The sequence below is a fragment of the Homo sapiens genome, chromosome 1 (genome assembly GCF_000001405.40).
Source record: "Homo sapiens chromosome 1, GRCh38.p14 Primary Assembly".
In the NCBI taxonomy this organism is placed as follows: Eukaryota; Metazoa; Chordata; class Mammalia; order Primates; family Hominidae; genus Homo; species Homo sapiens.
Genome location: NC_000001.11, coordinates 242,080,591 through 242,096,535, shown reverse-complemented (window position 1 = coordinate 242,096,535; position 15,945 = coordinate 242,080,591). Strand labels below are relative to the sequence as shown.

Here is a 15,945-nt window from a genome sequence, read left to right as displayed (position 1 = left end):
ACCCCGTCTCTACTAAAAATACAAAAATTAGCTGGGTACGGTGGCATATGCCTGTAATCCCAGCTACTAGGGAGGCTGAGGCAGGGGAATCGCTTGAGTCCAGGAGGCAGAGGTTGCGGTGAACCAAGATTGCGCCATTGCACTCCAGCCTGGGTGGCAGAGCAAGACTCCATCTCAAGAGGGAAAGAAAAAGAGAAAGGGAAAGAGAGAGAGAGAGATCGATCTTTCGATCGATCGATACTTCTGACCTTCTGGTGGTGCTCCAATATGAGAATATTGACTGGGTGCAGTGGCTCACGCCTGTAATCCCAGCACTTTGGGAGGCCAAGGCAGGCGGATCACGAAGTCAAGAGATTGAGACCATCCTGGCTAACACGGTGAAACCCCATCTCTACTAAAAATACAAAGAATTAGCTGGGTGTGGTGGCGGGCACCTGTATTCCCAGCTACTTGGGAGGCTGAGGCAGGAGAATGGCATGAACTCGGGAGGCGGAGCTTGCAGTGAGCCGAGATGGTGCCACTGCACTCCAGCCTGGGTGACAGAGTGAGAGTCCTCTGTCTCAAAAAAAAGAAAAAAAAAGAGAGAATATTATTTCATTCCTGTTGTCACTCTCAGTGACCCAAAACGTGATTATTTTGATTTTTCTCATGTGCACCAACTTATGGAGAGTAATATGAAATCAGCTGCAAGTGATTAAAAACAACCCCAAAATCATTTAATAAAAATGGGAACTTTTGGCTTAATCATCAGGGAACCCAGGGATGGTTCAGGTTTTAGGCACGACAGGATTGAGGGACTCAAATCTGGATATTTTACATGTGGAGTTTACTTAAAGTAAGATGTTGTGTGTCAATTCAGCAGTGACTTGTACCTGTATCTAAATGTTCTTTTGTGGGAATGTTTTTTAAAAAGGAGATGAGGGCTTAAAAATTAAAATTAAAAAAATAAATACCTGAAACCAGGAATTTTTAAAAAATGTACTTTTGATGAATTAAATGTTTTAGGCCGGGCGTGGTGGCTCACACCTATAATCCCAGCACTTTGGGAGTCTGAGGCAGGTGGATCACCTGAGGTCAGGAGTTGGAGACCAGCCTGGCCAACATGGTGAAACCTTGTCTGTACTAAAAATACAAAATTAGCTGGGTATCGTGGCACATGCCTGTCCTCCCAGCTACTCAGGAGGCTGAGACAGGAGAATCGCTTGAACCCGGGAGACAGAGGCTGCAGTAAGCCAAGATCCCATCAGTGCACTCCAGCCTGGGGAAGACAGAGTAAGACTCCATCTCTAAATAAATAAATATGCCGGACGCGATGGCTCACGCCTATAATTCCAGCGCTTTGGGAAGCTGAGGTGGGTGGATCACAAGGTCAGGAGATAGAGACCATCCTGGTAACAATGTGAAACCCCGTCTCTACTAAAAATACAAAATATTAGCCAGGCGTGGTGGCGGGCACCTGTAGTCCCAGGTACACAGGAGGCTGAGGCAGGAGGATCGCTTGAACCTGGGAGGTGGAGGTTGCAGTGAGCCGAGATTGCCACTGCACTCCAGCCTGGGCAACAGAGCGAGACTCTGTTCTTGATAAAATAAAATATTAAAAAATAATAAATATATATTTTAGAGTGAGACAAACCTATATTTGAATTCCAGCACTGACACTTACAAGCTGAAAAATGGTAGAAAGTCACATAATCTCTGTAAGCCTCTATTTTCTAATCTGTAAACTGGGGATAATAGCACCCACCCTTCAGTGGTGCTATGAGGCTTAAACAAGATAGTGTATGAAGAGCTCCTAACACTGTCTCCGATCTATCCATATCTTTAGGCAATATTGATTCCTGGCTCTCTCCTTTCTTCTTCCCTCTATAATACATTTTTAAATGAGTGAATTTTACACATAATATTTTAGCAAAATGTTAATTCCCTAGACTGAAGCACAGTTCTAGTATAAAAATACTCAACCCTAGAAGAAAAAAAAATCCATCAATAATTTAAATAATTATCAGCATGTTCTGATCTCCTAAGTCATCACTGAGATACTTGCTGAGAACGCAGAGTTGAGAAAAATCCACAGTGGACCTTGCATGGAATCACTGCTCCACTAAGTTTTCACAAGACTTACAGAAGAATCCCCAAACAGTGTCATCTCTCTAATTTTGAAATCTCCAGGGTACATTTGAGTCAAGCTCTGCAAACTTGTCTAGAAGATGGTTTGAAGGATTGGAGGACTGACAAGGGGGTAGCGGGTGGATGGAAGGCACTCAAAAGTCCCCTGAAGGCCCATGCACCTTCCCAGCGAGCTCTCTTGCAACCTCATCATCATGTCCCTCTGGGTGACACTACAGTTCTCCTGGCAACTGGGGCCTCAGCATGCATTTTTGGAAGCTGCAGTGGTAGTCTCAAAAAAAAAAAGCTGGATGAAATTGCATCCCAATTAAAAAAACACTGAAGCATATATGTGATTTTGAAGTCAAGCCAGACGGTCAGGAAGTGAAAGGTAGAAGAGCATGATCACAAAGGTGCAGGAATTCCTTTATCGGCCTGTGGAAAGCTTTCCAGAGCCATGATTCCTGAGATGAGCCTAATTAAAGCTTTTGAGCATCAGTAAAGATGCTGGATCTTGGCTCAATCCATTGAATTTGAAGGAAAAAAAAAGCTATATTTCATAGAATAAGTCTTCAAAATCTTGTCACCTCTCTCCATCATTTTCCCCCCACCCCAGGCTGCCCCCGAAGCATATTTCCATGTATATTTCCTTCAGAGAGAGTGGTCTGCACATGCACGTAGCAGAATTCTCAATGTGGCTATGATGCTCCTGACCTCGGGGGTCGACATTGTAGTCCAGGGTGAAGCACACAATTCTTAGCACAAAGGATGCCTTTAGGATCAGAGGCAACATGGAGTACAAGTAAAGGGTGGACCCCGGGGTCAGACCTGGCTTTGAACCTCAGCTCTGATATTTTTCTATTCCCGCTTTGGACAAATTACTTAACCCTTCTGTGCCTTCATTTCCTCATCAATACGATGGCGTTTGTATTACCACCTCAGAGGACGGCAGTGAAGATTGAAGAAATAATGTAATGAGATGATATATTGACTGCCCTTGTTACAGTGCCTGGCAACAGCTGTGGGGATGAGAGTTTAGTGTCATATCCAAAAGCCCTTAAAAGGCATGCAAGACCACAGGAGCCTTTTGCTTACGGAATGAATAGAAGATACTGCCTGGCAGGGGACACCTGAGCAACACTCAACCCACGGGAGCTACTAATCCCGTTTAGAGATCCAGTCCTGTATTTACCTGGCACTGAGCATTTGCACAGAACTGCAGCCTCTGCACATAGTCACGTGTCTAAGAGCACACGATCAGGAACGCCACCTTGGCCACGGGGGTCTCTGGGCAGCGACACCAACACAGTATTATGTACCACTTGGAAGACAGTTCACTAATTTATATCAGAAATAAATTCGTCCAAAGCTATGTCTATCATGAAGCCACTGATAGTACCGTTGTGCTGTTTATTGAGGGGGCAGATGATGGGTTGGGATGAGGGGAGAAGGATAAAGCAAAAGGGGGCAGGTCCCTCTCTCTGCTGATATTTGGTTTAGGGACTTGGTGTTCTTAGGCTCTGAGGAATAAACTTTAGGAGTAAAATGAGAGACAAGAAACCACCTTCTGATGTTCTCAGGGGTGCCAAATGGAAAAGGGACTCGGTATGTTCGAGGGCTCCAGAATACAGAGCAGAGACCAAAATACAAAAGCTGCAAAGGAACAGAAACTGGCTGTCTCCCAGATGTGCTTTCTTCCAGCAGCTTCTCCCACAGATGACTGCGGGCCCTTGGGCCAGGGGTGCCCAGGGAGACAGATGATCTCAGCGTCTTAGTGATTTCTGCAGCGAAACCTGAGTTGCTGCAGAGGGGACGGAAGGCCAATATCTCCACCTAAAGCCTGCCAGTTCCCTTTGTGGAATCAGCTCTTACCCAAAGAAGATAACAAAACTGGGAGCTTAGATCAGACCTGGCCTAGTGGTAATTTCGAAGATAATTTTGTCCACCTTGACATGGCTAAATATTTTTTAATGAGAATAATTCCTGGTTTATCATACAGTCTGGCAGACCTGGGTGCACCAGTGATTAACCATGTGATTAGGCAAATTTATTCACCCCTTTGAGCCTCCCACTCCTCAGCTGTAAAGTGGAAGTAAGTCCCACCAACCATATAAATAATGTATATAAATACCAAGTAGAAGCTGGTTCCGGTGGTTGCACCTGTACTCACAGCTACTTAGGAGGCTGAGGTGGGAGAATCGCTTGAGCTCAAGAGTTCAAGGCTACAATGAGCTATGGTCAGGTCCCTGCACTCTAGCCTGGGCAACAGAGAGAGATCCTGCCTCTAAAAATAAATAAATCAGGCCCGGCACAGTGGCTCACGCTTGTAATCCCAGCACTTTAGGAGGCCGAGATGGGTGGATCACTTGAGGTCAGGAGTTCGAGACCAGCCTGGCCAAAATGGTGAAACCCCGTCTCTACTAAAAATACAAAAAATTAGTGGGGCATTGTGGTGGGCTCCTGTAATCCCAGTTACTCAGGAGGCTGAAGCAGAGAATTGCTTGAACCCAGGAGGCAGAGGTTGCAGTGAGCCAAGATTGTACCACCGCATTCCAGCCTGGGCGACAGAGCAAGACTATCTCAAAAAAAAAAAAAAAGAAAAAAAGAAAAGAAAAGAAAAAGAAGAATAAAGCTACTCAGCTACAGAGTAGGGCGTCCACAGAAAGCAAGTGGAGGGATGTGGTGTGTTTTTCTTATATAGGAGTCTTATCTATGTAAAAGCTAAGCTAAGCTGTGTCTATGTGTGAGTGAGCTGACAGCATGACAAAATTTATTATTCTATCGATTTAAAGAAAACATTCTTGGTGTAATGACATTCTAGTGTGAAAGTACATCGAAGCATAACTATAGCTATCCCGAAAGCACATACTGTTATGGGTATTGGGACATCTGGACTTTCCACTGCTGTAGGACTGTATCCTTTGGGGTATCTTTAGGCTGTTTTCTCAACTGTAAACATCTATGACCATGGTTGTGACTGGCAAGGAACATGCCTTGTTAGTCTCAAGATGGAGCTGAACTGAAAATGGCATTACTCTAGCTCTCCAAGGCTGCTGCTTCCCCCACACCTTGAAGATGGACTACATGGGAGTGGCATACACATGATTAGTCTCTTCTAGGGCAGATCCCAGGCTTACTCCTTTGCATGAGCTGAATCGTGTCCCTCCAAAATTCATATGTTGAAGTCCTAACCCCCAGTACCTCAGAATGTAACTCTATTGAGAGACAGGATCTTTAGAGAAATCGTCAAGTTAAAATGAGATCATTAGTGTGGCCCCTAATCTAATATGACCGGTGTCCTTGTAAAAGGGGGGAAATTTGGACAGAGACATGCATAGAGGGAAGACAATATGAAGAGACAGAAAATGTCATAGAGATGTCGGGCACAGTGGCTCGTGCCTGTAATCCTAGCATATTGGGAGGCTGAGGTGGGGGGATCGCTTGAACCCAGGAGTTCAAGACCAGCCTGAGCAACACAGCAAGACCCCATCTCTATTTAAAAATTAAAAAAAGGAACCAAAAAGCATAAATAAAAAGAAAATAGAAAATGTCCATCTACAAGCCACGGATAAAGGTCTGGAACAGATCCCTCCCCACAGTTCTCAGAAGGAATCAACCCTCCCAACACCTGGATTTTGTCTCCAGAACCGTGAGACAATACATTTCTGTAGTTTCAGCCACCCAATTTGTGGAACTTTGCTATGGCAGCCCTAAAAACACGAATACACCACATAACACGGGCAGTCATACTTGAGAGGCTGTTCTCATAGCACCTGCCCCACTTCCTGGGGCCAAGGGGCCGGATCCTGGGTCTGGGAAATGATTTCTAGTCCAATCGAGTGTTTGTTAGGAACTGAGTCTCCTCTGGCTTCAGCGTTTTCTTTGATGTGAAAGCTTCAGGGACTTATAATTAGAATCCCTCATTTGTTCACATGGATTAGATGTTGTCTCTTTGAGAAGGTAGTAATTACTCACAGGATTTTTAAATGAATCCCTATATATTTTAAATGTTGCTGTATTTAGTGTGGCTTGTGAATGTCAATAAGAAATAACATTTACAAGAAAGAACAGCAGATTCCTTGTTTTGAGTTTCCACCGGAGCAAAGCTGAAGAAAATGCCAAAATAATATGCAAATATTAATATGCCATATGTAAGGCTTCTTGGATTTTTTTTTCGGAGCTGTCAACACAATTCAGCCTCTCCGTTGTTATTCCTGGATGTTGATGATTTTTAATAGAATCCACTCTGAATTTCATTATATTGGGTATGTTCCCAGTGGACTCTAACTCCTCAACATTATTTCTTTGTTTGTTTGCAGGAAATTTTGATTGGGTAGGGAATGATTTCACTCAGAATGCTGGCACGGGCCTTGTTATCAACCAGGCAGATGTGAGGAACAACAGAAGCATCATTAAGCAACTTAAAGATGTGTTTGAAAGGGACTGGTATTCACCGTATGCCAAAACCTTACAGCCAACCAAACAGCCGAACTGCTCAAGCCTGTTCAAACTCAAACCCCTCTCCAACAAAACTGCCACAGACGACACAGGCGGAAAGGATCCCCGGAACGTATAACATGATGAAGAAACTGACAGGACAGCTCTGTATTTCATATTTATACATAAAGGACTTGAGGAGAGAAAAAACACTTTAATATGTCTCTTTTTTTAGGGAAAAAGCACACTTATAAAAAATATTCTCTGAACAACACATAATACCTATCTAACAATATCTTAGCGTCGTGTACACTAAAATTAAGACTTTTGTATTTGTTACCTCTGACAGAGAATGTCATTCTGGCGTAGAAGTTAGTTTTTACGTTTGCATACAAATTTTAAGACTTTCATTCCTGCTCCTTTCTAGTTTTAGAACTTTTTCTGCTGACCTACCCGGTCAGTTGTTAGGAAGCTTAGCATGAGGTGGGCTCTTTAACACCATTCTGAGAACTGTTGATTTAGAGAGGAAGGTGAGGATTTTGCCTTGGAGAAGAGACTGATAAAACCAAGTGTTTATTCTTGTAAATCGTCTCCAAGACCTACACAGTCAGCTAAGCATGAATAGCTTACATCTCATGCCAGCCTTCAACACCCTTGAAAAATATCCTTTTCTGTCTTGCTCATTTTCTTCTTATACCATAAGTTTTATTTGGTATCATTTTCTCTTCTCACAAAATGTTCCTATTATATAGCATTTTCTGTATTCACCTCAACATTACTTCTAACTATGATAACATCTTTTGAAAACATACAAATTTTTCAGAATGGATACTAAGTGGAAATAGCAGTCTTTCATTTTCACCTTTCAACTGAATCCTTTTTTCCCCTACCGAATTGGTATTTAAAAAAAATCACAGTCAGCAATATGTATCCTTTCTCTCAAGCTCAGAAAAATTATGTAGCCACCTGCTAATATCCAGCAAGCTATCAAGTCTGCATTTTGGGAATAAAGTAGTTTTTCACATTTTTGTTCAGTTTATGGTATTATAAAGGAAAAAATCTCTATGCGTCAGTGGATTTTAATTTCTTTAGAATCATTATGCTGTTAAGAGTATGCCAGCAAACGTTTCTAGAGCTATTTAATATACCTTCTGCTATTTAATATACCAAATGCTTTTCAGAGAAATGCAATTTAAATACTGTGCTTAACATATTTTACTAAGAAGCAGAAATATTGAATTATTGTTCTATAACGTAATTGTGTGTTGTTGTTTTATATCTATACAATATATACCCCTGTATTAATGGAGACCATTGCTACACTAGGGAGAGGCATGGCCTCTTCAGAGCCCACAGCAGGTGGCCGGGATGTCCAGTTCCAATGTTGTTCCCGACTCTGTGACTCAAAGCGGAGCCCCTCACTGCTTGGCCTCGGGCTTCTCTTGGTAATGTAGACGGTAATAACTCACCTACCTCGCAAGGATGTTGTCACGGTAGGAAATATTTATAACTTGTTTTGAAATCAAAAGAACCTATATAAATGCTAAGCATTATAATATATAATCTTTTTCTTGAAATAAACTTTGTCATATCTTGATGGAATCAACACCAGGTCCTCCCCCAGAATCCACAAAGGAAAACAAATTCACAGCTTCCTGTTGCAAATGTGGATGAAAAGAGCACAGCCCCACAGAAACCCTGGTGGAGATCTGGATTGTCAACATTTCAATAGAACATTGCGTTGGGCTGCTTTGGCATGAATAACATCAACACAAAACTAGACGTCGTGCTAGAGCTGGTTCTTCAGGACCATAATATACATGTATTTTCAGAGCAAGGAAACACTCAGTTATTCTTTTTCATTTCTGGAGACTTGATTTCTAAATGCCAAAAGAGTGATCGAGGAGCCTGTGAATCTTATCCAATGGATTTACTTAATATAGAATGGCTATGTTGGTTATCCAGTGAGTGATCACATTACTTCCCTTCTTGTTATTTGCAAGTATTGCTTCACTAGATATTTAACCAGTTGATCAAGAGAGCTGGAAGGAAGCTGTATTTTTAAGGGTAGCATGGTTTTATGACTAATTGGGAGATTCTCACTGAAATTCTTCATCAATAATAGCCAGTCCCTAAGACTCTAAATATTTACCATATACACAATCCATATTTGAGTTGGGAGTTATAACTCTGCCAGTTATCCCAATAAAGTAAACGTGGCTTTGGTGATGATTTTAAAAAGAAAGCAGCCTGGGTGCGGTGGCTCACGCCTGTCATCCCAGCGCTTTGGAAGGCCAAGGCAGGAGGATTGCTTGAGGCCAAGAGTTTGAGACCAGCCTGGGTAGCATAGCAAGATCCTGCCTCTAAAAATAAATAAATACAGAAAGGAAAGAAGGAATCAGAATAGGAGTGGAGACAAACCTACCAAGTTCACACTCAGACAAACAAAAGCGACCTGAGTTGGTTTTAAAAAGGACATCTAAAGGGAGAAAAAAAAACCAAATAAACTAAAATTTGTTAGTTCTCAAGTTGTCCCCTGAAGTATTCATCCACAGCCATGGGACACTCATAGGCTTGGTGTCATGGGGCCCCTTCACTGTCACTATCTGCTGTATGTGCTACGAGAAGAGAATGTCATCCATTACGGAATGACCATCATTGCCATTTCCTTTTGAGGCCTGGCAAAATGCTATCACCAGGAGCCGCATCCCAGGCTTTTCTGCCAAGCAGCAGCAGCAGATGCCTACCAGACACAGCAAGCCCCTAATCAGGGGAGTCTGGGCAGCGGTGGTGACTCCATGGGGCCACACTGTCCTTCTGTGGCAGCCAGAAAAGTGACCCCCATACCAAGAGTGTCAGAAATGGGTTCATGTCTCCCAAGAGAACATTTCATTCTGCAGAACTTTCTTTCATTTGGATGCTTTAGCTATCCCTCTAGAGACGGCTTTCCTTTCTTTTAGACTTGTTTCTGTGCTAAACAAACTATCAACCTCCATTCCCCCCCACCCCTAAATATCCCAGGAATTACTTTCCAGGAGGGAAAGAATGCAAAACAAAAACAGGTTAATTTGACACCCTCTGGTGGATGTCCATGCCAGAAATTATGAGGAGCAGGGTGACTACTCCCCATTAACATTCCTGGATTTATTTCCCAAGAGGCAAAAAGGAAAACAAACACAATTAGAGACTATATCTTGGATTTCAGTACCACTAACACTAACTTAGTGCCTTATGTATCCTCAAGTGTTGATTTTAAACAATGACTTATTCTATGAGAACACTTCTCTCTCCTGTGGAATTCAAATGACCTTCCGATGGGCCTACCAGTTGAAAACTTCCATTTGAGCAGTGACAGTTTTTATGCTGCCTGTTCTCTTCCCAAGCCCCATCACCTTTATCCACCCCCCCGCCAAATCAAATCATTGCACACACCATCAAAGATCAATACTGTGGGCCTCCACTGCATTGTCACTGGCCACTAGCCTATCAAATAATTGAATCTCTGCTTGTCCAACCATTGGAGAGGAAGTGGAAGAGTGAGATGACATCCATGCTTTGTAAACAACAAGCTTTAGGTACCTGAACCTGATAGAAACAAGGAATGCTGAAAATGTCCCCACTGACTTAAAAGAATGCTGTAAAGAGATGCTTTGCAGACTTCCTAGGTCCTGTGGCACAGAGAATGAAAACCAGCGTCTTTAACAAGTCAAAGCAGACAAAGAAACAAAAGGTCTGCGGATACACTTTGCACCTGTGTAACTCTGGGCACCATTCGGGCCCTCTCTGTGCTACTGTTTGTCTCATGTCTGAATGGTTCTTGGTGAGAGGGGTCTGATCACATTTTTGGTTGATCTCACCCTTTGAAAAATGTGGGGGATTTTTTTTGAAATGCAGTTAATGGTTTAAGTGCCTCGATGAACCTGGGATGGATAGAAGCTCATTTCCCACCAGCCTGTGGCTATACTCAGTGACTCTGATTCATTCTGTTTGTTTTTAGGAACTTTTATTGAACTAAATTCCAAGGGGGGAGAAAAGACCATAAGAATTTCTTGATAAGATCAGATCCAGGGTCTATCTGTCTCAGGAATTCTATCCTACAATTAACTTTTTTTTTTTTCCACACGTATGACCACTGGTGTGTGTTTCTGTGTCCAAAATTCATTTCATTATTTTTAACTTTAGGAATGTAAAACGCTGCCATTACTTGCATAGAACAGCCACTTCCTATAATGAAAGATACTTTGTTATTGTTTATTCAAACTCAGTCCTTACGAACAGCCCCATATATTGTGGACAAATGTTTCATTCTTTTATCTTTCTGTACTTGTTCCCAATGAACTGGTGTGCTTTATTATACACCTTTTAAAGGCAAAATTAATATAACTTCCATTTGGCCCAAGGTAAAAAATTTTCCAATTTGATTTGGATTAGCATCTTTCATTTTCCTTTTATATGTTGTTAACAAAATAGCTGCTTACCATTTTCACCTTATTGACTTAAATGGACGGAGGCTTTTGAATAGCCCTGACATCAACCCCAGTTCGCAGCCTGTCTTTCTCATTTGAGAGAATTCCCATCTTTGGCTGAATTATGAAGATGCTGCTTTATACAGTGACTCAATGGGTATTCCTCAGAAGTTTCTTGAAGATGTAAAAATGAAATTTTCTTATTTTTGACCCATTAGCAGTCTTGTATTTACAAGGTTCTAAAACTTCACTGGTCATTAACGCTTCTTTTGGCAATTTGAAAAAAAAAAGTTACATTTAATAGACTATTACACATTTTCTTTTGCTATGTTCAACTACTAAACTTCTAATTCTGTTACAAAAGGTATCTTGAATTTTTAATGTTCCTTTATGTAAATAGGATAAACTTGTACCTGGACATATCTATATTATTAACCTTAAGATCCCTAAATAAATGGGTTTGATAAAGGGTTGAATTTGGGGGAATCATTAAAATTATCAAACCTTTCGTATAACCAGATGCTCAGTTTTTTCAGAAGTAAATATTAGATGGCTTTTTCATACTGTGAGATGAGGCATTTCTTTTTCTCCTCAAGCTGATCTCAGAAACAAATCAGTCTCTCATCAGTAACCAAGCTGTACTGTGGTAAATTATGAAGAAGGTAGATGCGACTGGTCCAATGGGCCCACTGTTTTGTATATTCACACAAGGAGGCATCTTTGAAACACTATACCTATCTCTTTCTCTAAAAAAAAAAAAAAAAAAAAAAAAAAAACCTTTCCAATAAATGTTCATTCTGAGTACATTAATTTTTAGTGAGAAAAAGAAACAATCATAGAGACCCCACTAGAGAACCTAGTGTCTGCTCAGCAAACCCATATTGAGCTGTAGAGCATACTTTAACAGCCATCTCAACCAGCTCACCCAACGTGTAAATTCCCTTCCCATTTGGGCATAGAAGTTGACAGCCTAGAGTGTCAGGACGGCCGAGTGGTCTGAGGCTCCAGACTCAAGGTGAGAAGCTGAAAACCTACTTGAGCCAAACAATTTGGAGTGCTTTATATGGTTCCTTTCTCAAGACCCACACAGGATAAAATTTTGTTGATTTACTAAAGTAATTTGGATTTGAGGCAGTCTTATCTCTGAAAGGATATGCACAGCATGTAATAAGGTGGGTGCTGTTTTCATAAAGAGAATCAATCTGAGAGGCATACTTTTAAAAAAAAAACTATCATTGGAGAGGTTAGCAAAGGCTTAAAAGTGAACTTTGAGTCTGCAATAGTCAATAGTATTCTGATTTTATTGGCAGTTTCTGAATGCTACAATTTCGTGTTTTTTTTTAAAAAAATGGGCTAACAGTGCGATGACAGTCATGTACAAGGAGTCCAATTAAATCATAGTAAGGGTGAAGATTATTTGTGATTTATTTTTATATGAGAGATAAATTAGTAAGGAGAAAAGATCTCTTTTTATGAAGTGGATATCTGGCTCTCAAACCCATTCCTTTTGGCTCAGACATTAAAAAATTATTAATTCCCTTATGGACTCTCCTATTCCCCATGGGCGGAAAATTCTGAAAAGCAGATGAGACATTCTGAGCCCCTTGCAAGACAAACACAGATGGTTTCTAATTTAGAGTTTTCCCACACAAATGCACAACCAATCTTGGAAATATGACCTCAATTCCCAGGATTAAAAACGTTGAAATTATATGTTACTTTCCAATATAAATAGAGGATGAAGATCTTTAAAGACAACTCAGAAAATATGATCCAATAACATTCAAATCAGAGCGTAATCTACAATTTCACTTAATAGTTAAAAGTGAAGATTAGCTGCTTCTTTAAAAGGGGTGAGTTATTAAAGGCAACATCCTAGAAAATGTAATAACAAGAAGGCAACACCATATTTTCAGCAAAGTTATGGTACTGATAAAGCACTTTGAAAATCCTCTGTAGGAAAATGTCATTGAGAAACAAAGGCCAATTTGTCTCCAGTGATAAAGCTATCTCTCATTCATATTTCATAGGTGGATCTATAGTTTTCCTGGTGTCTTGGAGAGACCCTACCTCCACAGCTCCTGCAGGAGCAAAACCATGTTTTCTGCCATGTGAGCTCTCTACACTGGCCACAGCTGATTGTACCAAGGTTCAGTACCCGACCCAAAGAGACTCATTTTCAGGCCAGAGGGCGGCCTAAGGAATGAAAGTGTACCTAGCAGTGGTATTCTTGTTTGATGGTACCTGGCCCCACCAATCACGGCCCTCTTTTAGGGAGTTTGAACACCAGAAAGTAAATGATGAATAGGAAGCACAGCCAGAATAGACACAGTCACCGTAATGGTGACTCTGAGAACAGTGACAGCAGTTACTTCTGCAGTCAAGACAATTTGAGGTCTTGTTGATTCACCATTCTGCTCTTAGCTTACTGGAGAAATACTTGACTCCTGAACAATGAGTCTGGACTTTGTAGTTCCTGGGTTGCTTTTTTTTTTTCTTCCTTTCTTATGTATTGACATAAATAAACTCACATTAACTGAAGTAACCTGTGTGTCTGTTCTTTGAAACCTGGAAGGGCCTAACACGATAAAGTGAAAGCTATCCTCGTTTTTAAGTAGCTTGGAAGGAAAAGAGGAGAAAAAAAGAAAACACTGTAGTATACCTTGTTGGGTCGGATAGAGACTCATGTCGGAGATCTCCATGGTGAAGCATGTGGATCCATGCCATAAGGGTTAAATATCAAATCAATAGTAATCAAATGTGTTAGACTCATAAAGTGTGTTTGAAACATTGAGCATGGAAAGTTAGGAAATGACTACATGATAGACATAGAGACTGTTAGAGCTGGGGAGCGGAATTAGAACTCTTGAAGCCCAGACCCACTATTTTTCTATATGAGGAAAATGAGGTGTAGAATACACAGAGTTAAGTAGAGACAGATGTTATAAATTTAGATAATGTTTTAAAATACACAGTCTAATGATCGACTTAACAAATGCAGAAGTTGCTAATAGTATGCTAAATATTTGGTGTAAATAGGCAGTTTACAGAAATGTGTAGAAGACACAAGTGAAATCACTCCTAGGAGGTCTGATGGAGGAAGGTGGGTCTATTGAAATGTCATAGGAGGAAATGGAGGAAGTGGGGGTAGTATCAAGACACATTTATCCTGCATGGCTCCCAGCTCAATTTAAGTAGAGATTAATAATATCAGAAGGTCTAGAGTTAGATGATTTTTAAGATTATTTATTTACTTTGGTGGTGGTGTGTTAGATATTTTGTTTCACATTTAGCCTATGGTGGACACTCATTGAAAAAGAATGCCATAAGCTACCATTTAGCATATGGGTTGAAAACAAAATTCTGTATTTTGGAGTTTGTCACTCAGCCAGTTAGTTTGTAGTTATTTATATAAAAAGGATGCAAGAGCTAGGACATTTAAGGAGTCTAAGGTCTGCAGACAGTGACATATTGCTGAACTGTTCCTATGATCGTGCAATTTGGGGAGCCTAGTTATGTTATGCCATAGTGTGATGGTCAATTGTGTGTGTCAAATTGACTAGGCTACTGTTCCCCGTTACTCAATAACACACGAACTAAGCCAGGTGTTGCTGTGAAGGCTTTCTGTGGATGTCATTAAAGTCTATAATCAGATTTTTTCACTAAGAAAGATTTTCCTCGATAATCTTAAGTGGGCCTCAAAAGGTCTTAAGAGCAGAACTGAGGCTTCCCTGAAGAAGAAATTACACTTGTGGACTACAGCATCAGCTCCTGCCTGAGTTCCAGCTTACCCTTCCTGGTGAGCTGCCAATGGATTTTGGACTTGCCTAGCAACCCCCACAATCACGTAAGCAAATTCTTTCAATAAATCAATTTCTCTGTGTGTGTGTGTGTGTGTACACTGGTTCTATTTCTATGGTAGAATTCTGATACAAATAGTAATAAATAATCCCCAAATCTTAGTGGTTTAAAACCACAAAGGATTTTTTTGTTGTTGTTCACACTACATATTCATCATGGGTCAGCAGGGGTGCTCAGCTCATCTTGGCCATTTAAAGACCCAGGTTGACAGAGCAAATGTTGCTGGTCACCATGCCAGAGGGAAAAGAGATTGCTGGAGGGTCTTACATGAACTATTAAATTCTCTGATCAGGAAGGAATACATGTCACTTCTGTTTACAACACAATGGCCAGAGCTAGTCACATCATTTTACCTAGCCTGATGTTAAGAAATACAGTCCCACCAGCATTTCTGGAATGGTGGAGAAACCAACATATTTAGTGTATAGTATTAATGACTAACAGAGTTAATTTCAAAAACACAAACTTATCAATGTGCTTCTCATTTAGAGTAAAGACAAATTCATGAGGACTAAAAGTAAGAAATGTTTAAGAATGATTAGGAATATAAGAATTATAAGATCAAAGTGACTCACTGAAGAAGAATGAATAAATGTAACAGTTCCCTAAGCTTTGTTGTTAGTAGCATTAAAAAAAAAAAATGCCAAGTTCTGAAAATTTACTGAGATGTCAACCAGCTGACTTACTGCTTGAGCAAGTACAAAAATAGTCACCAATATAAGTTCAGATAACTTTCTTTAAGGTGGCCCTGGGTTCCAGGTATCTAGATAGGTGGGCTTCGGTGCCTATCAACCTCTAAAATAACAGATAAATAAGAGCATAACCAAAGAGGAATGTTCTCAACTGAGCTTTGTAGATTTATTGAAAGTCTTTCTACACAAGGAACCTCAGTTTGCCTTTGACTTTCATAAACTCATCTTTTAATGTATGGTATTTCTCTTTACTATATAGGTTTCCTGGTCATGAATCTTTATTACCAATTTATCTTAAAATTATATCCCTGGAAGCAGAAGGGCTTTTTAACAAGATGTCATATATTCTCTAAAAAACTTATCTTTCACTTTCATGCATGCTG

General features: G+C 40.6%; 1 protein-coding gene across 14 annotated transcripts in view; it reads left to right on the top strand.

The window, feature by feature from the left end:
* The window catches only part of PLD5 (phospholipase D family member 5), a 447,561-nt gene extending 434,011 nt beyond the window's left edge, over positions 1-13,550 (top strand). For all 14 annotated transcript variants that reach the window (XM_011544115.3, XM_011544116.3, NM_001320272.2 and 11 more), the window contains one exon: positions 6,426-13,550. In XM_011544115.3, the coding sequence (XP_011542417.1) occupies positions 6,426-6,682 (257 nt within the window). In that variant the 3' untranslated portion in view covers positions 6,683-13,550. The remainder of the gene's footprint in view (positions 1-6,425) is intronic.
* The last annotated feature ends 2,395 nt before the right edge of the window (positions 13,551-15,945 follow it).